This window comes from Homo sapiens, chromosome 14 (genome assembly GCF_000001405.40).
Source record: "Homo sapiens chromosome 14, GRCh38.p14 Primary Assembly".
Lineage (NCBI taxonomy): Eukaryota > Metazoa > Chordata > Mammalia > Primates > Hominidae > Homo > Homo sapiens.
This window is the reverse complement of record NC_000014.9, coordinates 52770477-52794747: the sequence shown is the minus strand read 5'-3', so window position 1 is coordinate 52794747 and position 24271 is coordinate 52770477. Positions and strand designations below refer to the sequence as shown.

The 24271-nt window shown below is 37.8% G+C and overlaps 2 protein-coding genes and 1 long non-coding RNA gene across 11 annotated transcripts in view, besides 7 other annotated features; 1 reads left to right on the top strand and 2 right to left on the bottom strand.

Moving 5' to 3' along the window:
• Positions 1-2960, bottom strand: part of LOC105370500 (uncharacterized) — a 138447-nt gene extending 135487 nt beyond the window's left edge. For both annotated transcript variants that reach the window (XR_943867.3, XR_007064167.1), the window contains exon 1: positions 2422-2960. This is a non-coding gene — a long non-coding RNA (uncharacterized LOC105370500). The remainder of the gene's footprint in view (positions 1-2421) is intronic.
• Positions 2519-3033: an enhancer, noted in NCBI's record as "H3K27ac-H3K4me1 hESC enhancer chr14:53258433-53258947 (GRCh37/hg19 assembly coordinates)". NCBI's record gives its function as "activates a minimal SCP1, AML or CMV promoter by ChIP-STARR-seq in primed H9 embryonic stem cells {active_cell/tissue: H9 hESC(primed)}" and the evidence as "EXISTENCE:reporter gene assay evidence [ECO:0000049][PMID:30033119]".
• Positions 2519-3547: a biological region, named in NCBI's record as "H3K27ac-H3K4me1 hESC enhancers GRCh37_chr14:53257919-53258432 and GRCh37_chr14:53258433-53258947".
• Positions 2945-3164: a silencer, noted in NCBI's record as "silent region_5750". NCBI's record gives its function as "represses an Ori minimal core promoter by ATAC-STARR-seq in GM12878 lymphoblastoid cells {active_cell/tissue: GM12878}" and the evidence as "EXISTENCE:reporter gene assay evidence [ECO:0000049][PMID:35858748]".
• Positions 3034-3547: an enhancer, noted in NCBI's record as "H3K27ac-H3K4me1 hESC enhancer chr14:53257919-53258432 (GRCh37/hg19 assembly coordinates)". NCBI's record gives its function as "activates a minimal SCP1, AML or CMV promoter by ChIP-STARR-seq in naive H9 embryonic stem cells {active_cell/tissue: H9 hESC(naive)}" and the evidence as "EXISTENCE:reporter gene assay evidence [ECO:0000049][PMID:30033119]".
• GNPNAT1 (glucosamine-phosphate N-acetyltransferase 1) lies at positions 3141-19555 on the top strand. 4 transcript variants are annotated; one of them, XM_005268012.4, is made up of 7 exons: positions 3141-3320; positions 6877-6915; positions 10084-10251; positions 11263-11325; positions 12837-12964; positions 14008-14069; positions 16290-19555. In XM_005268012.4, exons 3-7 carry the CDS (start codon positions 10098-10100, stop codon positions 16435-16437), a joined length of 555 nt encoding a protein of 184 aa, XP_005268069.1. In that variant the 5' UTR covers positions 3141-3320; positions 6877-6915; positions 10084-10097; the 3' UTR covers positions 16438-19555. The 4 variants fall into 4 exon arrangements, with proteins under 4 accessions (XP_005268069.1, NP_932332.1, XP_006720301.1 ...); XM_047431705.1 differs by having other exon boundaries at positions 3260-3790; NM_198066.4 differs by lacking the exon at positions 6877-6915.
• Positions 3265-3344: a silencer, noted in NCBI's record as "silent region_5749". NCBI's record gives its function as "represses an Ori minimal core promoter by ATAC-STARR-seq in GM12878 lymphoblastoid cells {active_cell/tissue: GM12878}" and the evidence as "EXISTENCE:reporter gene assay evidence [ECO:0000049][PMID:35858748]".
• Positions 3655-3744: an enhancer, noted in NCBI's record as "active region_8397". NCBI's record gives its function as "activates an Ori minimal core promoter by ATAC-STARR-seq in GM12878 lymphoblastoid cells {active_cell/tissue: GM12878}" and the evidence as "EXISTENCE:reporter gene assay evidence [ECO:0000049][PMID:35858748]".
• Positions 3825-3914: an enhancer, noted in NCBI's record as "active region_8396". NCBI's record gives its function as "activates an Ori minimal core promoter by ATAC-STARR-seq in GM12878 lymphoblastoid cells {active_cell/tissue: GM12878}" and the evidence as "EXISTENCE:reporter gene assay evidence [ECO:0000049][PMID:35858748]".
• The window catches only part of STYX (serine/threonine/tyrosine interacting protein), a 44824-nt gene continuing 40311 nt past the window's right edge, over positions 19759-24271 (bottom strand). For all 5 annotated transcript variants that reach the window (NM_145251.4, NM_001130701.2, XM_011537108.2 and 2 more), the window contains one exon: positions 19759-23715. In NM_145251.4, coding sequence (NP_660294.1) covers positions 23642-23715 — 74 coding nt within the window. In that variant the 3' untranslated portion in view covers positions 19759-23641. The remainder of the gene's footprint in view (positions 23716-24271) is intronic.

Sequence of the window (24271 nt, the reverse complement as noted above, 5' to 3'; positions counted from 1 at the left end):
CCTGGCCTGTACCATATTTCATCCAATCTTAGACACATCCATTGTATGACACGCCATTAATTTATATACCACTAAGAAAGAAACAATGTGGCTAATTTAAAATTATAATATCTTATCACTTGGAACTTGTAATACCTAGTGAAACAACTCTTCTATACTTAATTAGACATGGATTGTTATATCTAATTCCTGTGCAAACATTAAGAGGAAAATATAAATGAAATAAATTGGCTAAGGTATTCTTTTTTGGGGGGGGATGGAGTCTCGCTGTTGCCCAGGCTGGAGTGCAATGGCACAATCTCGGCTCACTGCAATCTCTGCCTCCCAGGTTTCAAGTGATTCTCCTGTCTCAGCCTCCCGAGTAGCTGGGACTACAGGCATGTGCCAGCACACCAGCTAATTTTTGTATTTTTTCTGAGAGACAGAGTTTCACTATGTTGGCCAGGCTGGTCTTGAACTCCTGACCTCGTGATCTGCCCGCCTTGGCCTCCCAAAGTGCTGGGATTACAGGTGTTAACCATGGTACCCGGCCAAGGTATTCTTAAACTTCTCATTCAGGCCAACGTTCCTGAATCACTTCTCAACTCAATCACTGACATCTATGTTTATCCACGTAATAGCCTTATTTGTGCCAATGAGAATATTGTTGTTGGTCAGACGCGGTGGCTCACACCTGTAATCTTAGCACTTTGGGAGGCCCAGGTGGGTGGATCACAAGGTCAGGAGTTCAAGACCAGCCTGGCCAACATGGTGAAACCCCATCTCTACTAAAAATACAAAAATTAGCTGGGTGTGGTAGTGCGCACCTGTAATTCCAGCTACTCAAGAGGCTGAGGCAGGAGAATTGCTTAATTGGAACCCAGGAGGTGGAGGTTGCAGTGAGCTGAGATCACACCACTGCACTCCAGCCTGGGCTACAGAGTAAGACTCCCTCTCAAAAAAAAAAAAAAAAAAAAAAAAAAAAAAAGAATAATGGTGAATGCAGCATTTCTTCTAAGAATCTAGAAAAATAAATAAAAATCAACCAAAGGACATACCAATGGTTCCATTAAACCAGAAGTTGAGACTGTCTCCTGGTTATCTTGGGCTCCTCATTGCCAAGTGAACCTACAGGCAAAGAAAGGGGTTAACTGTACTGGCCAGAGTAATCGACCTTGTCTATTAAGGAGAAATTGGGTTCTTATGGCCCAATGTGGGTAAGGAGGAGTATATGTGGAAAGTATGAGATCTCTGGGGGTACCTCTTACAAGCCTTGTGTTCTGTGATTTTAGAATTGCTTATGTTTCACTTTTTGCTAATTTATAAAACATACAGCAGTTTGTTGTACAGGATAAACTCACTGAAAACATTTGACCAGAAGTCTGATAAGAAAAACGGGGAGGGCCATATGCTTAAGATTAGTGGTGTGTACATAAGCATTTTTTTAAATTTTTGTTTGTTTTGAGACAGGGTCTTGCTCTGTGGCCCAGACTGGAGTGCAGTCTTGCAATCATGGCTCACAGCAGCCTCTGCCTCCCGGGCTCAGGTTATCCTCCTACCTCAGCCTCCTGAGTAGATGGGACTACAGGCACATGCCACCATGCCTGCCTAATTTTCAGTATTTTTTTTTGTAGAGACAGGTTTTTACCATGTTGCACAGACTGGTCTCAAACTCCTGGGCTCAAGAGATCCACTTGCTTAGGCCTCCCAAAATGTTGGAATTACAGGTGTGAGCCACTACGCCCAGCCATGAGTGTTTATTTTATTTATGCCTTACATATTCTTTTTTTTTTTTTTTTTTTTTTTAGAGACAGGGTCTTGCTCTATTGTCCAGGCTGGATTCAACCTTGTGGGCTCAAGTGATCCTCCTGCCTCAGCCTCTGGAGTAGCTGGGACTACGGATGCATACCACCACATTCTGCTCATGCCCTATATATTCTTTTGTATGTATGGGTGTAAAAACAGAGATAAAAACAGAGATATGGATGCCATCAACTCACTGATGTTTGAAGTTCTGAGAAAGCATAAATCAGTAAAGGAGTTAACTGAAATTTAAATCTCACAAATGAGCAAAAAATATGATTTCTGGTATATGATCTATGGGGTTCTTTGAATACTATTGCTTAAGAATAAAATACTTTGCGATTTCAATAAATTGAAAATTATGGTACAAGGCAAGGAAGGGGAGCTACTAGCTATGAGACTTTTGTAAATTATGTAACATCTCTGAACCTCTGTTTCCTCATCTGTTAAAATAGGGACAAAGTGCTACTTAGGTAAGACACTTCAGAAATGGGGCTCTGAAAAAAGTCACTTTTCTTCTCCTAACGAAAGGTTTCTAAACCTCAGCACTCCAGACATTTCAGGCCAGGTAATTCTTTGTTGTGCGGCGCTGTCCTGCGCACTGTAAGGCGTGAAGCAGTATTCCCGGCCTCTACTCACCTGTGCCCTCCACCATCTGTAGATTCCAATGACATCTCACCCCAGATGAGAGGCTGAAAATGATTCATACATTGCCAAATGTCTCCTGGGAGGCAAAACTGTTGCAGTGGAGAACCGCTGTCCTAACCCCATGTTCATCCAATAAAGGGTTTGAGGGACTGAGAAATGAAACAATAGTCCCGAAGGAGTAGAATGCAGTGGCCCCAACTCCTAGTTTCATGAAGGCAGGAACTGTGACTCAGAGGCCTGGGGATGCGGAGCTCTGAACTGCCAGCTGGTAGGAAAAGTCCTAATTAATGGATTGAATCATGAAGGGAGGGCAACAAGGAACAAATGGAGAGGGCCAGTGGCCGAGCCTTCGGTCTCAGGATCAAAGAGGCCCACACTGGTCACCACTTACGCTGCTGGGCTGACTGCTAGGTAGACGTATCTGCAGATAAACCGAGACAATGACGCGGTGGGAAAGGCCTTGGGGAGCGAGGAGGAGGAGCCGGGAGAGGCCAGCTTTGGTCCGGCGGCCACCGCCCCAGGCGCCGCGACTCGAGCCTCAGGCCCCGCCCCTCGCCCTCCTGGTCCCGCCCCCGCTCTCCGAGCCCCGCCCCTCGCCCTCCTGGTCCCGCCCCCGCTCTCCGGGCCCCGCCCCTCGCTCTCCGGGCCTGGGCGGGTGGCGCCTTGGCCTCCGCCTCCGCTCGCCTGCGCGCGGCCCTGCGTGAGGGGGCAGAGGCGAGGTGGAGGCGTTGGCGCTGCCACGTCTGGGCCGCGGTTCCCAACTGTGGCGCGGGCGGTGGAGGAGGAGGTGGGGCTGGCGCTGAAGCCGGATCCGGATCCGGTGCTGTGCACACTGGTGGGGGAGAGTCCGACGCGCCTGGCTAGGAGCGCCGACCGCAGGGCCTCTACGGGTGAGGAGGGACCGGGGCCGGGGCGCGAGAGCAGGACCGTGTGTCCTGGGGGCTGGGGCGGGCCTGCCCTCAGGTTTATCTAACAGGTGTGTCTGGTGCCCCGGCCAGGCCCCCGGGGGTGTTGTGTGGAGGAGCTGGGCGTTAATCCTCGCCAGCTGGGTGCACATGGTGTGGAGCGCGGTTCCCAGGAAGTTGAACGCACGCGCGCCTGGAGCAGAGGTTAAGGATGATGGCCAGCGGTCCGGCCATACGCTGGTCTTGGCCTGGCAGGGCTGGAACTGGGACTGGGGTCGGAACTTCGCTCCCCAGACTTTGGCGTGGGAAATGAGACAGTTGGTCGCGCTCTCTGCAGCCATCGGTTTTGAATGGGCACGAACGTCCCAGGCCCCTTCTCTTCTCCCATTCCCGGGCGCATCCCACGGTGGTCGGAGCCATTGAGGCAGCTGCTCCGAAGACCACCTCCGCACCGAGTAGGTCGGCGCTTTCCCCAGGGTACAGAGGGACATTCTTTGTCTCTTTTTCCTAGGCTCCTACCCCTAGAAATACCGAGTACTGTACTGTGATTTCTGTTGCGGGAGCTGATGTTTATGTAAGCCAAACTAATTTAAAATTTTCATACAAAATTGAACGGGCGATTATAGGATTCGTTTTGTTAGGATAATCCCTCATGAACGAATCCTAGAATGGATCTTAAGAAATTAATTTAGGCAGGATTTGCTAAATAGGGGAGAGAGCGCTAGCTGTATGGTATGATGATGTAAAGATTGGGGTCTGTTGAGGATGGTAATCGAGCTCAAGATGCGAAAACGAGGATTCTAGCCCCAAGTCACTTACTTGCTGTGTTACCTAAGGGGCAAGTCTTGGGAGTTCCAGGTGCTCCAGCTTCCTCATCGGTAGACTGGGAATAACGCCTAGATTGTAAAGGTCAAACTATCAGAAAATACTTTTGAACATTCATGCAGTTACACAATTTAATAAATATGGCCAGGTGTGTTAAAAATCTTTAACGGAATAGATTCAGAATGGATTCTTGTTATCGAAATTGTTATAAAATGAATATAAAGGAATCCGAAGTCCGCCCCTCCCCCATTCACCTGTACTTAGAAGGTTCCCCAGGAGCTCTTGAGAAATACATAGGCTGGTTTAGATTTGGCCTTAGATTGTATTTTTTAAAATTTGTAGATCGACTTTTAAAATCTTCATCTCCGGTGTCTATTACTTGTTGCTCTCCGTTGGTTGCTTCTAGCAGCAGCCTCTCTCCCCATTCGTATTCCAACCTGATACAGAGGCTCAGACGCCAAATAGTTGAAGTTTTGTTTAAAAAATATTCAATTGAGTGAAAAAATATTCAACTGATGTGATGACTAGTAAAAATGAATTTGGTGTATGCTTTCCGCGATATTGTGGCAGTTTGGGAATTTTTTTTTTTTTTTTTTTTTTTGTCCTTCTGGATTTTCTGAAATGTGACCTACAGGTAAGTCTTATTCGTTATTCATTCACTAGGCATTATTGGGCTAGGGTTAGGCTTAAACGGGTCTTCTAAACGCCTGCTAATTTAGCAGTTAATCAGAAAAGGTTCTGAGGAATACTTAAGGAGGATTAGTGTTTAAAGTTCATCTAAAAACTTTAAAGAACCTAATGATATGATGAGATTCCGCTTCACACAACTGTGCAATTTTATTCGCAGAAATTTCCTAGTTTTGCAATATCTGGGCACCTGAAGATGCTAAAAGATTATTTATATAAAATTACTTATTTAATTATGTTCTAAACCCCCTTGGAACCAGGTTTCAAGTCATATCTTGCTTCACTTTGCCCAGTACCTTAGTTGGGCACCAGCAGAATTTTACGGTTTGAGGACAGAGTGAGCTAAAGTGGGCCTTCAGTATGGCTCTGTTTTGTAGAATAGCTCATAAAAAAATTTTTGATGTTAATTTCTGATTGCCTGGTTAATAGATTCTTATTTCAATCTGTAATGCTTTGTTTAATGTATTTTGACTAGTCTGATTCCCATTTTCCAAATGTAGGTTCTAAGTGCTGCTTATGACTTAATTTTTAACCCTTGTACAACAGTAAGATAGGGAATTTATCTACTCTAGTGCATCTTCAGTGTAATGGTTAAGAGCAGAGTCTGAAGTCATACTACCTAGCAGGACTGGCTACGTAATCTGTGGTAATCCAAATTAAAATGCAGGGTTCCTTGTTAAAAAATTAAGAACTTCAAAACAGTGGCAGCAGGGTATCAAACTTAAGTGCAGGGCCCTGTGTAACGGCACAGGTCAGGGGCTTCTGAAGCTGGCCCTGTTGCCTCATTTTGAATCCTCACTCTGTTCTTATTGGCACTCTAACCTTGAGCAAGTTACTGTGCCTGCTTCCTTATCTGTAAAATTGGGATAATAATGATACATCGTTCATTGTATTTTTAAGAGTTAACATATAGAAAGTTTTCAATAAGTGTTAGCCAATATTATTTATTTTTATGATCATTCGTGGAAAAGGACTGTCTCATCAAAGAAAAGTACAAGAAAATATTAGTATTTCCTGGTTAAAATTCATTATTTAAGGGCTTCATAATCCTAGTTGTTTTCCTGTATACTTCTTCCCTCTCATGAAAATTATTAACCCTATTTTTCATGTTTTCTAGACCACATTTTTATTGTAAACACAGACAACTTTATAGGAAAAAGGAATCTAGTTAAATGTGGTTAAGGTTGATTTAAATTCTCTTTTGAGTTTTCTTTGAACTTTGTATTTACAACTATATGTTTAATAGCAAGACCAAAATGTTTAAATAGTGTGCTGCCTCGAGGAATTTACATTTTTAATACTGTACACATTTCACTTTATTAATACTTAGCCTGTTTATCTACATACCTGAAAAACAATGTTGCTACCTACCATTCAGATGAGATTACACACAAAAACCTCAAGGGTCCAATTTAGACAAAACACTAAAACACGTGGACTCAATTTCATCTATTAAAAACTTGTTTTGGCTGAGCATGCTGGTTCACACTTGTAATTCCAGAACTTTGGGAGGCTGAGGCTGGAGGATCACTTGAGGTCAGGAGTTCAAGACCAGCCTTTCCAACATGGCAAAGCCCCATCTCTACTAAAAATACAAAAATTAGCCAGGCGTGGTGGTATGAGCCTGTAGTCACAACTACTCTGGAGGCTGATGTGGGAAGCTGAGGTAGGAGGATCACTTGAGCCCAGGAGTTTGAGGCTGCAGTGAGCTATGATTGCACCACTGCACTCCAGCCTGGGCAACAGAGTAAAACCCTGTCTCAAAACAATAAAACAAAACAAAAAACCTATTTTGAATGGCTATTAAACTTGTTAAATTTGAAATGACTGCTTGATCATCACAATTTCTATATTTTCCTTAATATTGTTAGAACTGGGTATAGTGTATGCAGCATAATTTGAATCATTTTGTGTGTGTGTGGCTGGGGGGACCTCTCAGCAGTCTACATTATAAACTACGTTCTTTTCTACCCAAGAATGCTAACTTTTGGTATAACATAAACGTAAGAGCCTGTCATTCTTTTTGTAGTTCCTGTAACCAGCACAGTGCCTGATTCATGAATTAAAGGTAAAAAAAAATGAACAAGAATTTATAAACTTTAATTTTAAATTTATTGCTAACTAGCATATATCTTATTAAGTACTTGCAGTATTCCAGGCACTGCTAAGTGCATGACTGCATACAGTAATGCATTTAATTCTCCCAGTAATTTCATCTCCATTTTACAAATGAGGAAACTAGATTCTAAAAGCTTAATTACCGTAGTACATATCACACAGTTGACATTTGAACACCAGGTATGAATCCAAAGCTCATGCTCTTTCTATGCCTAGGTTTAAATCCTGGCTCCGCTAATTTTGTGACCTTGGGCAAGTTACTTAACATTTTCTCATCTGTTAAAATGTAGATAATAACCACTCCTAACCTGTAGGATGGTTGAAATAAATGAATTAGTAAAGCTCTTTCAACAGTCTGGCACATAAGAAGTGCTGAGCAAGTGTTAACTTCTGTTGTTACATCACATCACACTACCTTCCCATAACTAGTATATTGCAGCATTGCTTATATAGTTACATAGGATTATACAGGCAGAAACTTATTATCCATCTTTAAGGAAAAGTTAAGAATATTTGCCCTAAAGCATACTGTGACTTATGAAATAAGGAACAATTGGGGGTTAGGTTATTGGGCAAATTGTTCTCTCATTAAAATATGGTTTCTTTAACTGGATATAGAAATAAGTTGGGGACTGCTTTTTTTGGATCTCTAATCCAAAAATCCAAAACACTCCAAAATTTGAAACTTTATTGAGGGCCAACATGATGCCACAAGTGGAAAATTCCACATCTGGTATAATGTACAAAAACTTTTCCATGCACAAAATTATTTAAAATATTGTGTAAAATATTTGTGCTATCTGTATAAGATGTATATGAAACACAAATGAATTTTGACTTGGGTCCCATCCCCAAGATATCTCATTATGTATATGCAAATATCCCCAAATCTGAAAAAAAAAAAAAAAAAAAAAAAAAAAAAAAATCCAAAACCTGAAACATTTCTGGTCCCAAGCATTTTGGATAAGGAATACTCAACTTTTAATTGTTGGGAAGCATCTGTTTCTTTTAGCAATTCTGTGCTGCACAGAAGCCCCCTGGCCCCAGTTTTATGCTTTGTATGATTTGTTTTTCATCCTTCCTATCGTTACTTCTCTGTTATTTAGTCTCAGTTTTAAAACATTACAACTAGTGAGAACCTGCTCATTTCTAAATGTTCAAAAAAGAGGGGGAAATATCATGATCACTTTTCAATAGCATGAAAAACACCAGCTATTTTTAAGCTGCTTAGATGCAACTGAGAAACACTATACAGTTTAATTTTAATTTAATTTTTTTGAGACGGAGTTTCACTCTTGTTGCCCAGGCTGGAACGCAATGGTGTGATCTCAGCTCACTGCAGCCTCCACCTCCTGGGTTCAAGTGATTCTCCTGCCTCAGCCTCCCAAGTAGCTGGGATTACAGGTGGCCACCACCACACCTGGCTAATTTTGTATTTGTAGTAGAGACAGGGTTTCGCCATGTTGGTCAGGCCGGTCTTGACCTCCTGACCTCTGGTGATCTACCTGCCTCTGCCTCTCAAAGTGCTGGGATTAAAGGCACGAGCCACCATGCCTGGTCCATACCACAGATTTTTAGAAAATCTGCTGTGAAAACAAAATCCTGCAGTGTATATCTAGCATAGCCAAGGTAAAGTATTTCTGAGAATGCCAAAAAAAAAAATTAATTTGAGCCTGTTCATCAATTTTCTTCTATTCATGGTTCATTGAAAAAAAAAAAAAAAGCTACATGTGGCTAGACATGGTGGCTCACACCTGTAATCCCAGCACTTTGGGAGGCTGAGGCAGGCGAATCACCCGAGGTCAGGAATTTGAGACCAGCCTGGCTGACATGGCGAAACTCCGTCTCTACTAAAAATACAAAAAAAACTAGCTGGGCGTGGTGGCAGGTGCCTGTAATCCCAGCTACTCAGAAGGCTGAGGCAGGAGAATTGCTTAAACCTGGGAGGCGGAGGTTGTGGTGAGCCAAGATCACATCATTGCACTCCAGCCTGGGCAATAAGAGCGAAACTCCATCTCAAAAAAAAAAAAAGGCTACATGCCCAGTAAGTTTTTTGAGAGGGAATTTCACTCTTACATTGCCCAGGCTGGAGTGCAATGGCGCAATCTCAACTCACCACAACCTCTGCCTCCCAGGTTCTGAGGCGATTCTCCTGCCTCAGCCTCCCGAGTAGCTGGGATTACAGGCATGCGCCACCACGCCCGACTAATTTTGTATTTTTAGTAGAGATGGGGGTTTCTCCATGTTGGTCAGGCTGGTCTCGAACTCCCGACCTCAGGTGATCTGCCCACCTCGGCCTCCCAAAGTGTTGGTATTACAGGTGTGAGCCACCGTGCACAGCTGAAAGTTTTCTTTATTGGCAAGTAAGACTAAGAGATTACTTTTTTAAAAAAAATTTTTTTCCCCTTGCAATTTCCTGTTGAAACAGATGCCTTCTTGGCTCAATAATAAAATCCAAGAACATAATGTAAAAAATTTAAGAGCCCATGAAAAGTCAGCTATTCATTTAGTAGCACCAACCCAGAGGAAAAACATGTTTTAAAAGACCTGATAATAGCCGGGCGCAGTGGCTCACGCCTGTAATCCCAGCACTTTGGGAGGCCGAGGCGGGCAGATCACCTGAGGTCGGGAGTTTGAGACCAGCCTGGCTAACACGGCGAAATCCCGTCTCTATTAAAAATACAAAAAAATTAGCCGGGCGTGGTGTCACGTGCCTATAATCCCAGATACTCAGGAGGCTGAAAGAGGAGAATCACTTGAACCCAGAAGGCAGAGGTTGCAGTGAGCCGGGATCACGCCTCTGCACTCCAGCCTGGGCAACAGAGTGAGACTGTCTGAAAAAAAAAAAAAAAAAAAGACTTGATAATAAATGGGATTTTATAGTTTAAAACTTACTAATTTAGTCACTTAGCCATTTTTTTATCTGATAGTAGGCATGATTTTTCTATTTATCTGTAGTTGTGGAATTTAATGTTAGATTCAGGCTGGGTTGCAGTAAAATATCTCGCATATGTGCTAAAGAATGCTTCTAATTGCATTAATTTATATTAACTTTCTCAACAATCATAATTTTCCTTCTATTAAATAAAGTGACTTAATATTCAAATTTTTATTTTAGACCTTACTAGAAAAATGAAACCTGATGAAACTCCTATGTTTGACCCAAGTCTACTCAAAGAAGTGGACTGGAGTCAGAATACAGCTACATTTTCTCCAGCCATTTCCCCAACACATCCTGGAGAAGGCTTGGTTTTGAGGCCTCTTTGTACTGCTGACTTAAATAGAGGTAATGTACAAAATCCTGTGTAAAATTAGAGTTAGCCTTCCATTTTTCTCTAAACATTATGATGCAGATAATTTTTTTTAAATATTTGACTTTTGGACTATTTTTTGTATAATACTTAGTTTTTAAAGTGATGGACACTCAATACCAATGAGTGTGTGTCATGGCTAAGACCAAATATTACTGTGAAATATTTAAAATGACTTAAATACAACATCACTCCTTCCTAATTAAGCCAAAAAGATTTCTCATAAACAAAAATTAAATTATCATGTATGATGACACATAAGGAGGGATCTTAAGAAGCTGGTTGGGGAATGAAGGTGGAAATAATTTTCCTTGGATAAATTGAAAGGGTTTTTATACAGTTATTTCTTTTTTAACATCTAAATTCTCCAAGTTAACTTCCTTAAACTTTGGTAATTAAAAGTCAACTTTGTCCTTTTCACAATTATCTCTTTGCTAGACAGCCTGAAGGGCCTAATTTTGGCCTAATTATTGAGTGTAGGAAAGTTAAGATTTTCAAAATTCCAGGTGCACTGTTCACATCAATTTCCGGTAACACTAATGAAATTCACTAGAAATTACAATTTTAAAGAGTGTAATCTCAACAGTGTTACTTATACTTTAATTTACGAATATTGTATTTAGCCATGTTGCACCTTTAAGTAAAACCAAATCACATATTTGGGAAAATCTGGCACCCTTTGCATTGAACTTAATGTAAAATATAATACATTGAAGAATGTATGTTCTGGGTCTATAAATACTGGATATTAAGGTCAGCACTATTTAAAACATCTTATGCAGGCAGAAGCACTGGTAAAACCTGTTATTTTTGTTATATGTAGTGATTATAGAAGAATAGGGTTCACTTTATTCTAATAATTAAAAGATTATAGAAAGTTCTGAAAAAATAATTGCCTGTAAGCCCACCTGCTTAATATATTGCTTATTTTCATACTGTCTTCCTTTTGCTATTCTCGTAATTTGAAATCTGTTTTTCAAAACTAGGTTTTTTTAAGGTATTGGGTCAGCTAACAGAGACTGGAGTTGTCAGCCCTGAACAATTTATGAGTAAGTACTATAACCTCTTTTTCCTGAAATAAAGGGAAACATGATTTCATTTTTGTTTAGAGCTGTTCAGTGCCCACTTCTGTTTTTGTTCAAATAGCTGGAAATTATTCAAAGAACAAATTAGCTGTTTTATACAAATGTTTAATGTGGCTGAGTTGTTCTAGAATCCAAATGTACCAGTAACTTTGTTTTTGCAAACTATCTGACTACTTTATTAGATAATTATTGTACCATAGGACCTAGGTGTTAGCTCTAGAGGTTTTTCGTTTTTTTATTGTAGTATTTCCCTTACTGTGGTTATTTACAGAAATTTCATTACCAAATCAAAAAAGCAAGACTATACGCTTTAAATTTATTTTGGGGTTTATTTGTATTGAAGTTTAAGGTTAGCAGGCATCTTAAGAGTTAGTCCACCCGTCCCCTGCCCCTCTTCTTTTAGACATAGGAGAAAATAGGAATTTAGAGAGATCCAAAGACTTGCCCAAGATCACAGGTAGTTATTGCTACGGTGAGGAATAAAACCTTAATTCTGTCCAGTGCTCTACCACTGCTTTTTCCTGTTATAAAGGAAATGAAGTATTATTATCATTACTAAATATTTAGTAATATTTAATAGCTGAGGAATTACAATTCTTCATTTCCTTATAATAGGGAATTTTGTATTGAATTCTATTTGACCCTCCTGAGAATGAGGACCATCATTCTGATTCTCATTGTTTATTTTCATTCACTGAATTTCTTTTTCCCATTTTAGATCTCTATCTGGAATGAGACCATAGAAATTAACAATATGAGAGACTATTAGCCTCAATTTTTATTCCTGAATTTTTCTTTGCATGCACATGAATTAGATGAGAAACCATGTTATTTCAGCAATAGTACTGAAAATCCATTTGAGGGGAAGTATCTTTGCACCTATTTGCTATGTGACTTGGAAAAGTTACTTGGAAACAGATATGTTTTTACTTCCTTGCAAGGTGCTCTCAAAGCAAACAAGAGCAAGTCATGTTATCACAAAACACTTTCCATCACAAAGGGAAAATTAAAATATATTTTGTAAAAATATTTTGAAAGCAAAAGACTAAAAATTCTAGAATTGAGCCATGTAAACATGCTCTTGTTAAAATGTGCAAAGGTTATATTTGAATATCTATTGAGTATAAAAGTTAAAGAGATCTATTTAAAGTAAATGAAGAAATTGAAGTTTTCATTAGTCATGGAAGTGGCAACATCAGCCATTTACTTGTATTTTAAGTGTTGTTCATCTAAAATAGCTATATTAGTCTTTATTTTGCTAGCAGATATTTTGAATGTGTAGGTTATATTCCAATTGATACTAATTGCTGATATTTCAACTACTTGGTAATATTTTCTTTAGAAATGGAAGGTAAATTACTATGGTAAAACAGCTTTAAACATTTAGTAATTAAGTCAGCTAATCCTAATATTTTTCTGGCTCCCCATAAAATTGAATGTCTACTATGTAACACTTTGTTATCCAATTTCCACAGAATCTTTTGAGCATATGAAGAAATCTGGGGATTATTATGTTACAGTTGTAGAAGATGTGACTCTAGGACAGATTGTTGCTACGGCAACTCTGATTATAGAACATAAATTCATCCATTCCTGTGCTAAGGTATGTGCTGCTTATAAATAAAATGGACAGCTGTTTTCTAGCACAACTGACTTTGAGTTTCCATTAGACAAATCTGTTTTCTCATTGATTTTCAGTGCCTCTTAGAAATCCCTTTTCCCAGTGTGTTCTGAGAGCTTTAAGAAAGAAAATGTATAACAGTATGAATTGTATGCTAAAATTGTTCTGTAAGGTGGATCAATTTGGTATAGGCATAGAGAAACCAAACAACTTAGCAGTAATGCACAAAATCCCTAATGTTACTCTTTTAAAAAAAACAACTCTGAATATACCACGTTAGCATAAATTTGTTTCCACATGGTAAAGGGTTCAGATTATTCCGTTCTAATTATGATACATCTAATGCATGTAGTGCCCTTTCATCCCTCAATAACTCACATAAAATAGTAAATAAAAAAAGAGGGAGAGAAAACCTTAATTCAATGAGAATAAGGTAGGAACACTTGGGATGTGTTCTGTCACACTTAGGAATTTCGGTGGGGTTTCTGTACTAGACATTAATTTTATTTGGATATCTAAAATAACTTGCTAGTAAGCAAGGAGTAGAATGATGGATATATTCATGAAAAGGTTACATTTTGGTGATGTTGATCCTGATATTTGTTTAAAGACAATGGGGTGGGAAGGTTGGGGACATAGCCAAAACAAGTTTAGGTCACAACTTGACTCATACTATTTCCTCTAATAAGTAAAAACATCTTTAAATTATTAACTTTTAATAGTAGTACTCTCATACTAGTAGGAAACAAACTTTTGGGCTAATCAGATTTGCCCCAGCTTCTCTGTCATATTTAAAAACAAAGGAAATGTTCAGCTATTACAGAATATTCTATGATCTCTCCTTCTCATAAGTTGTAGAAATACATACTGAAACAGCCTTCACTGTATAATATTTTTTGCATTTGATTTCTGTTAAGTTCAAGTTTACAAAATATACTACTTATTATCAGTAAATTCTTACCAACTCGTTTTAGCTAAAAACAAAAGTAAATGCTTACTCCTTTAAACATTGTAAATATTTTCAGAGAGGAAGAGTAGAAGATGTTGTTGTTAGTGATGAATGCAGAGGAAAGCAGCTTGGCAAATTGTAAGTAGGCAGAAACAAGGTAACCCTGGATAAATTTTGTTCCAATTTAGTTTCTTAACAAGATACTTGTTTGAAGTTCTTTTTGGCTTCATTAATTCTGAACTTATTCTCACTCTAATAGTTTAGACTGAATTTCATGAAGAAATAAAGTATTATTATACATATTTTGCCTTAAAGTTTGAAAATTGGAAGCATACTTCTTTACAGACAGTAACATCTTTAAATTACTAACTTTTTATAGTAATGCTCTCGTCCTAGTAGGAGATAAACTTTTGGGCTAATCGGATTTGCCTCAGCTTCTCTGTCATATTTAAAAACAAAGGAAATGTTCAACTATTACAGAATATTCTGTGATCTCTCATTCTCATAAGTTGTAGAAATACATACTGAAACAGCCTTCACTGTATATATCTAAATCATTTAAAATAAATATAAATAAGTGGTATTGATTTATTGCCATTTTATAAGAACTTGTAGTTCTTATTTATTATAATTTTTAGTTTTTGAGACAGGGTCTGTTTTTGACAGCTCTGTCACCCAGGCTGAGGTGCAGTGGCTCAATCTCAGCTCACTGCAGCCTCAGCCTCCTGGGCTCAAGCAATCCTCTTCAGCCCCCCAATTAGCTGGGACTACAGGTACACGCCACACCTGGCTAATTTTTAAAAATTTGTAGAGATGGGGCCTCATCATGTTGCTCAGGCTGGTCTCAAACAGTGCTCCTGCCTTGGCCTCCCAAAGTGCTGGGATTACAGGTGGGAGCCACTGTGCCTGGCCCAAGAACTTGCTTTTTAACACTAACTCTTCTGAGTTTTAAGGAATTAACAAATATTAAATACCTGCTTATGTACCAGATGCTATTCTAGGTATTTGGAATACCTCAGTGAACAAAACAGACCGATTTCTTGTGTTCTAGTCTATATAATTTATGTTTTTTTTTTTTTTTTTTTTTTTTTTAAGAGATGGGATCTCTTTCTGTTGCCCAGGCTGGAGTATACAGTGGTACGATCACAGCTCACTGCAGCCTTGAATTTCTGGGGCTCAAGTGAGCCTCTCGCCTCAGCCTCCCAAGTAGCTGGGACTACAGGTGCATGCCGCTGCACCCAGCTAATTTTTTATAGAGATAGGGTTTTGCTATGTTGCTTTGGCTAGTCTCGAACTTCTGGACTCAAGTGATCCTTGGCCTCCTAAAGTGCTGGAATTACAGGCATGAGCCACTGCAACCAGCCAGGCATACTTCAGTCAAGGTCTTTTGTTTTTTTTAAAAATAGGATTTTTTAGTCTGTTCAAACATGGGCAGACCCTTCAAGTTTGTATATCTTTTATAGTTTTTATCCTCTAAGGCACTTAGATCCACACTTTAATACTGGGTTTGGATTCATTAAGAAATTTTGTATAGATGTAGACTTGCTTTGTTTCCACTTCATATTAATTAGACCAATCTTGAGTTAATCTGATACACACCTTCACAAATATTAAAGTAGCTTTAAAAATGATTAAAGAGCAAAGCTATTATGTACTCATTTTATGTGGGTATGTCGACTGCTCCGAAGTTGTTTAAATAGATTTAAATAAAGAATTTTTACAAAATAATTTTGGTCATTTTTTTTTTTAAAGGTTGAGTTTTTAGTGTTAACATGCATCTTAAAATTCGTTTTTCTTTTTCAAGACAGAGACTCACTCTGTTGCCCAGGCTGGAGTGCAGTGGCACAATCACTACTCACCGCAGCCTTGACCTCTCTGGGCTCAGGTGATCTTCCCCCCTCAGCCTCTGGAGTAGCTGCGACTTTAGGCATGTGCCATCATGCCCTACTAATTTTTATATTTTGTAGAGATGGGGTTTTGCCGTGTTTCCCAGGCTGGTGTCAAACCCCTGGGCTCTAGCGATCGCCTGCCTCGGCTTCCCAGAGTGCTAGGATTACAGGTATGAGTCACTGCACCTAGCCTTAAATTTCATTTTTAAAGAGGGCTTAGGGTGAGTTTTGTATTTGTCCTGTTTATTAGTGAGCTGGAGATTACTAGATAAAAGTATATTTGACTCTAAGTAAAAATGCTTTGGTGATTTAAATGCTTATCAACTTACATGAATGCAGTGGGAAAAGCCATAATCTAAACCTGTTTCTAAGGAAACTTAAGTTTTATAACATTAATTCATATTGTTACTAGAATCAATTTTTATTAATAAATGCTATCTCCTCACCCTACCCCCTTTTTAAATTTCAGGTTATTATCAACCCTTACTTTGCTAAGCAAGAAACTGAACTGTTACAAGATTACCCTTGAATGTCTACCACAAAATGTTGGTTTCTATAAAAAGTTTGGATATACTGTATCTGAAGAAAACTACATGTGTCGGAGGTTTCTAAAGTAAAAATCTTGTAAGAAAATTGTCAAAGGGGCTAATGCTACAAGGCTACACTCTTCCTAGAGTTGAAATATTTTGTTGCTGCAGCCGAGTGACCTCCATAAATACTGGACTGAAAAAACATTGTAATACTACAAGTATAATGACATTTAGAAGATTACTTTGGGCTGGTGGGACATGCTGTGAATTTAGATTACAAATGAATATTATAAAGGGGATGATTTTTAACCAAAGGAATATATTTTTAACTTGAATCTTTTCTTGCATTGTATTTTTCTAAAAGTTTGGCTTCCTTTCTTGGTAGTCAAGAGTATGGGTAATAAGGAGTTATATGTCTGCTATCTGTGTTGCTCATTTAAAAAAAGTATACATTGAATAAGGCTGTTTATCACATGCATAAAATTAAATATTTTTGTTTCAAAGAAACATCTCAATACACTTAGGGGTGTATTGTTTCCCACATATTAAGTCAGGGTGGATAAATTAGTTATTATAACTAAACATAGTATAGTCCAACATTCGTTGATCCCAATACAGGCAAACAACCTGGTCAACCTTTTGAAGTAGAAGAAATGAAAATTACTTGACAAGATTAAAAGTAAAACAATTTAAATGTTTTACTGAAAGTTTATATAGTATAGTCTATGTAGATAAAAAGTACCACTTGTCTTTTCTGTGAATTATGACTATTCATTTGTTAAAAATACCTAAGAGCAATTATAGTGGGACATCTAAGGTCCTCTGTAAACAGTGAATTAGCAAACCTCAGCCTATGTGTTTCTACCCTGATTTTTTTCTTTTCATGGGTATCTGAAGCCTCTAAGTTTTTTCAAAAATGGAGTATCACAAAATTGAGTGAAACACAATACTTAATGTATTGTACTAGATTGCCAAATTCATAAAATGTTAATGGAAGCTTTTTGATGTGATTATAATGGCACTATTCTGGTCATTATCCTATTTTGATTTTATTTAATTTTTTAAAGTTGAAGAATTAAATATTTTAATGGTTCTAATCTTTTGCATTCCATGTTGCATTAAACCTGTTTATATGAGTAGTCTTCTGTTAGAATCACATCTGTGCTTTTCTTGAGTCTGCTGTTGAACTATTAGATTAAGTCATAATTCATAAAATTTTAGTTTAATGTGCTCTTTGTAAAATGAAATTGTAAAGAAAATACCAGTGTTTCTCATCCCATTGACTCACACCACGTCATCTGGATTTTGGATTTCCCTCCATGCAGCCAGCTATAGTTGGCTTTCCAAAACAACAGAAATCCTTCACCAATAGAGTGCACTACTTACCTGCTTATAGCCTATACAGACGAACTGATCTGTCCTTCGTGAAACGCAACAAAGCTAGTTCTGTCTTTTCAGAAGTCCTACAACCTTGACAAAGAGTAGTTTTATCAGGTAAATCCTGGTAATTAAAAACGCATGTTTTTAAAAATTAGCCTGGTAAGGCCGGGTGCAGTGGCTCACGCCTGTAATCCCAGCACTTTGGGAGGCTGAGGTGGGCAGATCACAAGGTCAGGAGTTTGAGACCAGCCTGACCAAAATGGTGAAACCCTGTCTCTACTAAAAAAAAGAAAAATTAGCCAGACGTGGTGGCATGCGCCTGTAATCCCAGCTACTCAGGAAGCTGAGGCGAGAGAATCGCTTGAACCCGGGAGGCAAAGGTTGCAGTGAGCTGAGATCACACCACTGCACTCCAGCCTGGCGACAGAGAGAGACTCCATCTCAAAACAAAACAAAAAAAATTAGCCTACTTAAAGGCACAACTAAATGCTTTATTACCTTTCTTACCACTGAACAATTTGAGGTAAAATCATTCACAAGGTTGGCACTTCAGTAAATCCCTTTAAATAGTGTTCCTAAGATATCTCTTAAATCCTCCCATAGGAAATAGAATTACAGGTAAGGTACACCATACAAAAATTGTGTCATTGAGGACAATGGTGATCTGTAATTTTAGTTGAGTATGTTTATGATTTTTGAAGCCATATGGTGAGTAAATGTAAATATGAAAAAAGTGCTACATAAAACACTTCTTAAACTTTTTTTTTTTAAAAACTGCTCCTTGTGGAGCAGGACTACCCCATAGGCAGTGTACCCACAATAGATAGCCTTTTGTTGTTGTTGTTGTTGAGACAAGGTCTCGCTGTTGCCCAGGCTAGAGCGCAGGGGCACAATCACCACACACTGCCGCTTCAATCTCCTGGGCTCAAATGATCCTTCCACCTCAGCCTCCCATGTGGCTGGGACTATAGGTGCATGCCACCACACCCAGCTAATTAAAAAAATTTTTTGTGTGGAGTCTATGTTGCCCAGGCTGGTCTCTTAACTCCTAGGCTCAAGTGATCCTCCCACCTCAGCCTCCCAAAGTGCTTGGATGACAGGTGCGAGCCACTGCACCTGGCCCACATTTTTTAAAGAGACACTGTCCCACTCCATCACCCAGGCTGGAGTCCAGTGGTGTGATCATAGCTCACTGCATCCTCCAGTTCCTGGGTTCAAGCCATCCCTCCTGCCTCAGCCTCCCCAGTAGCTGGAACTACAGGTGTGTGCCATCACACCTGGCTTTACATTTTTCTGTGGGGTCTTACTATATTGCCCAAGCCGGTCTCAAACTCCTGAGCTCAAGTGATCCTCTGCCTCAGCCTCCAGAGTATCTGGGATTACATATGTCGGCTACCGTGTCTGGCCGTTCACATCTTTGGCCACTATTTGCTTGTGAAAAGGTATAATGAGGTGGTACTTATCATTTTTACTGTGTCTCATGTTTTGTATATTTTTGTTTCATCAACTAAGATGCACTGTAACATCTCTGAAATCTGGATATATTATCAATGGTTTATCATAGTTTTGTTAGCAATACACTGTCTTTTAGTGGTGCCTAAAATAATGGTATAGTTGTGAGGTGATCTTAGATTTGATGAAGCACAGTATGCAGGTAGGCCTAATGGGGGAAGATGGTAATATAAAAGCAAGAAGTATTTTTTTTTTGTAATGACTGAAAGCTGTTCTGTGGATGACCTACCCTTTCCTTTAAACACGATTCTCTCACTTCCAACTCCAAACTTGCTCAACTAATCCTTAAAAATAAACTTGAGCTGGAATTTGAGGCTTGCCTGGACTACAGACCATAATTTTGTGTGTGTGTGTAACCACAGTGTTTTAGAGTATACTCTTAAGTGCTTCTCAACATTCAATGTTCATCCACTCTTCTTAACTCAGAGTAAATTTGGGTTACTTTTACCCAGCAGATAACAATCTAAGTAAAGAAGTTTTGAGGTATAAGCAGCAGTATGAATGAGCTTTTCAATATTTTGGAGGTATAATGGCACAGCAGTTTTAATACAACCACCAATCTTCACAAAATAATTTTAATACTTTGTGCCTGGGCTAGCAGCATCTTGCACTGTGACATTCCTATACAGACATAAGCATTTTATCCAAGTACAAATGTTAAAAGCAGAGTAACTTAAGCAATTGTGTATACAAAGGTATACAGACACTGTAGGTTATTTTTCTTCTTGAATCATTTTTGCTGCATAGTAAATTGCAATTACATGTCAGTATAATGTTACTGATCTATAGAATACACTTTGAACTGTGAGGTATGGCAGCTCCCTATGAGAGAGAGCTAACATGTAAACCTGAATATTTTGAGTGATTTTTGTTTTAGCTGCCACAGATGGGAAAGACAAAAAAAAAAAAAAAAATTCCAGCATTCAAAGACCCTAGAGACTTACTTTTCTAATCAATTAAAAAAAAAGGTCTTTCAGTACTTCTCATCTATTTTCTAGCATTCCCTTATCGGAGCACTGTTGAACAAAGAAAGAAAGAAAATACTGAGGTGAAGCTATGTTTGTTATGGGATTATGGATTAAATCAGTTATTTAAAAAAAAAAAAATCCGCCAGGTAACTGCTCATTTACTTTACATCAAGTTGAGATCTTGATACATATATATATATATCTCAACTTTATAATTCAAGATTGCAGTTAAATATTTCTAATTCACTTGAATTACCATATTAATAAGACAATTAGAAACCTTATATTTTCTTAATACAGACATGCTTAACATTTTCTGACATTACTTCTAAACTCAGATGAAGCATAAACTCTCCCCAAAACTGCTCTAAAAGTTAAGTGGTTGAGTTGGTAGCAAAAGCTATCATGGTTTAACATTTCCACCACAGAGTAGATACAAGTAAAGGTCACTGCAGTTTAAACATCTAACAGGTAAGAAATTAACATGAACCAACTAACTGAAATTAGAATACTGCCATTCCATGTTTGAATATTTTCAATACTCAAGTTTCATATTTTCAAAATGGACAGTAATACAGTTTCCCTATGTTTTGATACAATTTCACTATAAATTATGGGCCCAGATTACACTTTTAATGTTGGAATTGGGTGGTCACTCATACATTATTTAAATACTCTAGAAGATAAATCATGATCAGTTAAATTTATCATAGTTAACTATCACAAAACATCAGTGGTAATAAAAGAATCACAGAAATGGAATCAAATAGAATAAAGAATAGGAAGAGCTACCAGAACTACTTAAACATTAGGTGGACAGACATGCAAGAAAAAACAAACCTGTAATGTTCTTATATGAAATAATAAACTTCATGGTTTGTCTACATTAATATTGTACTCAGCCAGGCGCAGTGGCTCACGCCTGTAATCCCAGCACTTTGGGAGGCCGAGGTGGGTGGATCACTTGAGGTCAGGAGTTTGAGACCAGCCTGGCCAACATGGTGAAACCCCATCTCTACTAAAACTACAAAAATTAGCCAGGCATGGTGGCATGTGCCTCTAACCCCAGCTACTTGGGAGGCTGAGGCAGGAAAATCACTTGAACCCAGGAGGTGGAGGTTGCAGTGAGCCAAGATTGTGCCACTGTACTCCAGCCTGGGTGACATTAGAGACTCTGTCTCAAAAAAAAAAAAAAATCTATCTATCTATATATATATATATACACACAGAGTACTCAAGATGATGACAGTCCCTTTTCCCAGTGTTTGTGAGAGACTGTAATATACAGTACTGGGCAGGCACTTCAGTGACAACATAAAAATTACAGTGGATAGAAAATGTGGAAAATTACCAGCTACAAATTATCAATAACAAAATCTGTTCTTTTGGCCAGACTACTAGAGAGGATATATGTATATTTATGAAACAAGTTTTTAAAACCTAAACTTACTATTATGAAGATTCTTTTAAGCAGAGTTTCTGCTAAATGAAGCATCATAGATTATTATTACACTGTAAGAGATCTTTGCTGACCTGCCCAATAGTGATCTATATACAGGAAAGCTGTGTTATCTGGAACTTTTATCAACTGGAATTTTAGAAAACCCAATGCGAATCTTGACTCCACTAGACCACTGTACATCAAAAGACCTAATCACAAAGCAGAATACTGGACGACAACGAGATTAACAATATGCTGTTTTCACAGTGGTAAGATAAGAGAAGGGAAGGGGAGGGAAATCAGAAGAGAAATATCACCTGGGTCAATAGGAATTAACTCTTAATTAACAATTTTAATTAATCTCCACTCTCCCACTATGCTGGGTAAGAAAGCTTTTACTGTATTATCACATCATAGAGAGGAAAGCAAAGCAAGTAACTTGGTGTAATAGGTTACTTTGCATAGTACCTCTTGGTACCAAGGGAACATACAGAAATCATTCCCATTAGTAAAGCACCTCAAGAGAGGATTGAGAAAAGTTAGATACAAAGGAGTTTTGTTTGTGCTACCCTAAAGTCATCAACTATAAAAAGTTAAAAACACTCCTCTCTTCCCTTACATACTTAAAATAGCAAAAATGTTTTCTTAGAACTTTTATACACACAAACTAAAACATAGCCAAAAATCCATAAAGTGACTTTACTAAAGCAAATTATGGGGCAGATCTGGACTAACTGAATGTCAAGAATGGATTAAAATGCTAATTTAAAATACACTAGTCTCCCACAAATCACCTTCCCCAAAGAAAAGCTTCTGTTTGAGCCGGAACAATCTCACAGAATCATTAAGACAACATAAAAAGAAAGAGTAAACATTCTATATTCCAAATAATTTACTAATATTTCTTCCAGCCTCGTACTTTCAGTTTAAACTAATTTATGGTTTAAAAAGAAAGGAAATTACACAAAAATGTTAAGAACTTTTCAGTGTTCTACATACTAATTTAGAGGCCATGAGGATTTAATTATTTTTTTTAAATGATGCAAGGCACTTTTCTTTTTTGGGGCTTCATTTAGAAAAAAATAATGCTACATTGGTTTATTAGATTCTATTTAGAATCATTTTGGACAAAGGAAAAAAGGGCTGGACAACTCTGAAAAGAACAAATACAACGTTTGGCTTTTACTGCCAAAAAATGCAAAAAGGAAAGTCACTCGAAAATCTAACACTATCCTTGTGTTTAAGCACTTGGTACTATAAATCAAAACGTTTTCCTTTTATCATGGAAACTGTAGTTTTTAAAATATAGAAAAATTAGGAAAGTAATAAGAAAGGAAGCAATAATTAGATCAAGTTAAAGTAAGGACAGCTAATTAGGATCATGATTTAAAGATTAATAATGGAAGAAGTATAAAAAATAAAATGGTAATTAAGCTATTAAGTTATACTAAAAAAGAAATGTGGCAGATTCCTGCATTTTGTTAATGTTTCTGTAAGAGGCTCCATCATAAAATTGAACTGTAAAATTATGTTAAAAATGTAATATATAGAACAGAAAAATGAATTTTTAGCAAACCTTAGCAAATTTTGTTATAAATTACCCAAACTTTATAAACAATCCCCCCATACTTGCATTTTGTTTAAAGTAATAACTTTATATCATACAAATAAATTTCAAGTATGAAAAGTGCATTATTGCAATAATACCTCTTTGCAAGTCCAAAATTCTTGGTTTATAATAAAACTTGTAAAGCATGTGTGTGTGCGCGCGCATGTGTTTTTAAAAAAAGGAGTAAAACCATCAGTGTCATCTATTGCAGAAGTCCAACATCTTAAAATGTTGCTCAACAAGTTGCAGAGAAGTATGTCTGGAAGCAACATGTAATTGAAAAAAAAACTACTTATGTTTTTACCATTTTACATTATAATTTTCTCTTGTATTTTCTCCTTCCCAAATAGAAATTCACACTCTATGATGTTGCTCTTCAAGTCAGCCATTCTGTGCAGTCGCCACTTGCATGGTTCCAAAATCATCCTCTTCTTCATGTGTTCTCTTCAAACTGCCTAAAAGTTATTGCATGAAGATTAAAAGGGCACTAAAATAAATTCATGTTAAAAGGTTACAGCAAGTAAAATTTTGTTATTAAGTGATCATGTATACACTATGAAAATTCCACAACTGATATAGCAAAATTTAGTAAATTCCTTTGTGATAAATTACCTAAATATTATAACTTTTTAATCTTCATGACAGGATATATTTTCCTTCTCAAGTATTATGTCTTAGGTATTGCATATAAAATAAATAATTTTTGAAATAGTGTGAAAATAGACCTTTTCAAGAGATAATACATAAATGTTTAGTTATCAAGTTAATTGTTTTTTAGGCACCATAAACATGTGACTTAGGGCATAAAATTTAGGAAATTAATCTTGTATTTGTATAATTTTTTGTAGATAATCTTTTTGCTTTCACAGAGGCTGTTATGAAGAGCAGCTGAAAATATTTTTCCACTCAAGCTATCGAAGTCTAGGTTGGGAGAAAGGAAGGCATGTAGCATATAAAGAGATTTTCTTTTATCTATTCTTCATACCAGCATCTGCTAGTACAGAAATCTCC

What these genes read in the sequence shown, in the direction of transcription:
- GNPNAT1 (NM_198066.4), top strand. Translation starts at nt 10,098, where the DNA reads ATGAAACCTGATGAAACTCCTATGTTTGACCCAAGTCTACTCAAAGAA. An exon ending in TCATCCATTCCTGTGCTAAG is followed by an intron (nt 12,965 to 14,007) that starts GTATGTGCTGCT and finishes AAATATTTTCAG; the next exon opens with AGAGGAAGAGTAGAAGATGT. An exon ending in GGAAAGCAGCTTGGCAAATT is followed by an intron (nt 14,070 to 16,289) that starts GTAAGTAGGCAG and finishes TTTAAATTTCAG; the next exon opens with GTTATTATCAACCCTTACTT.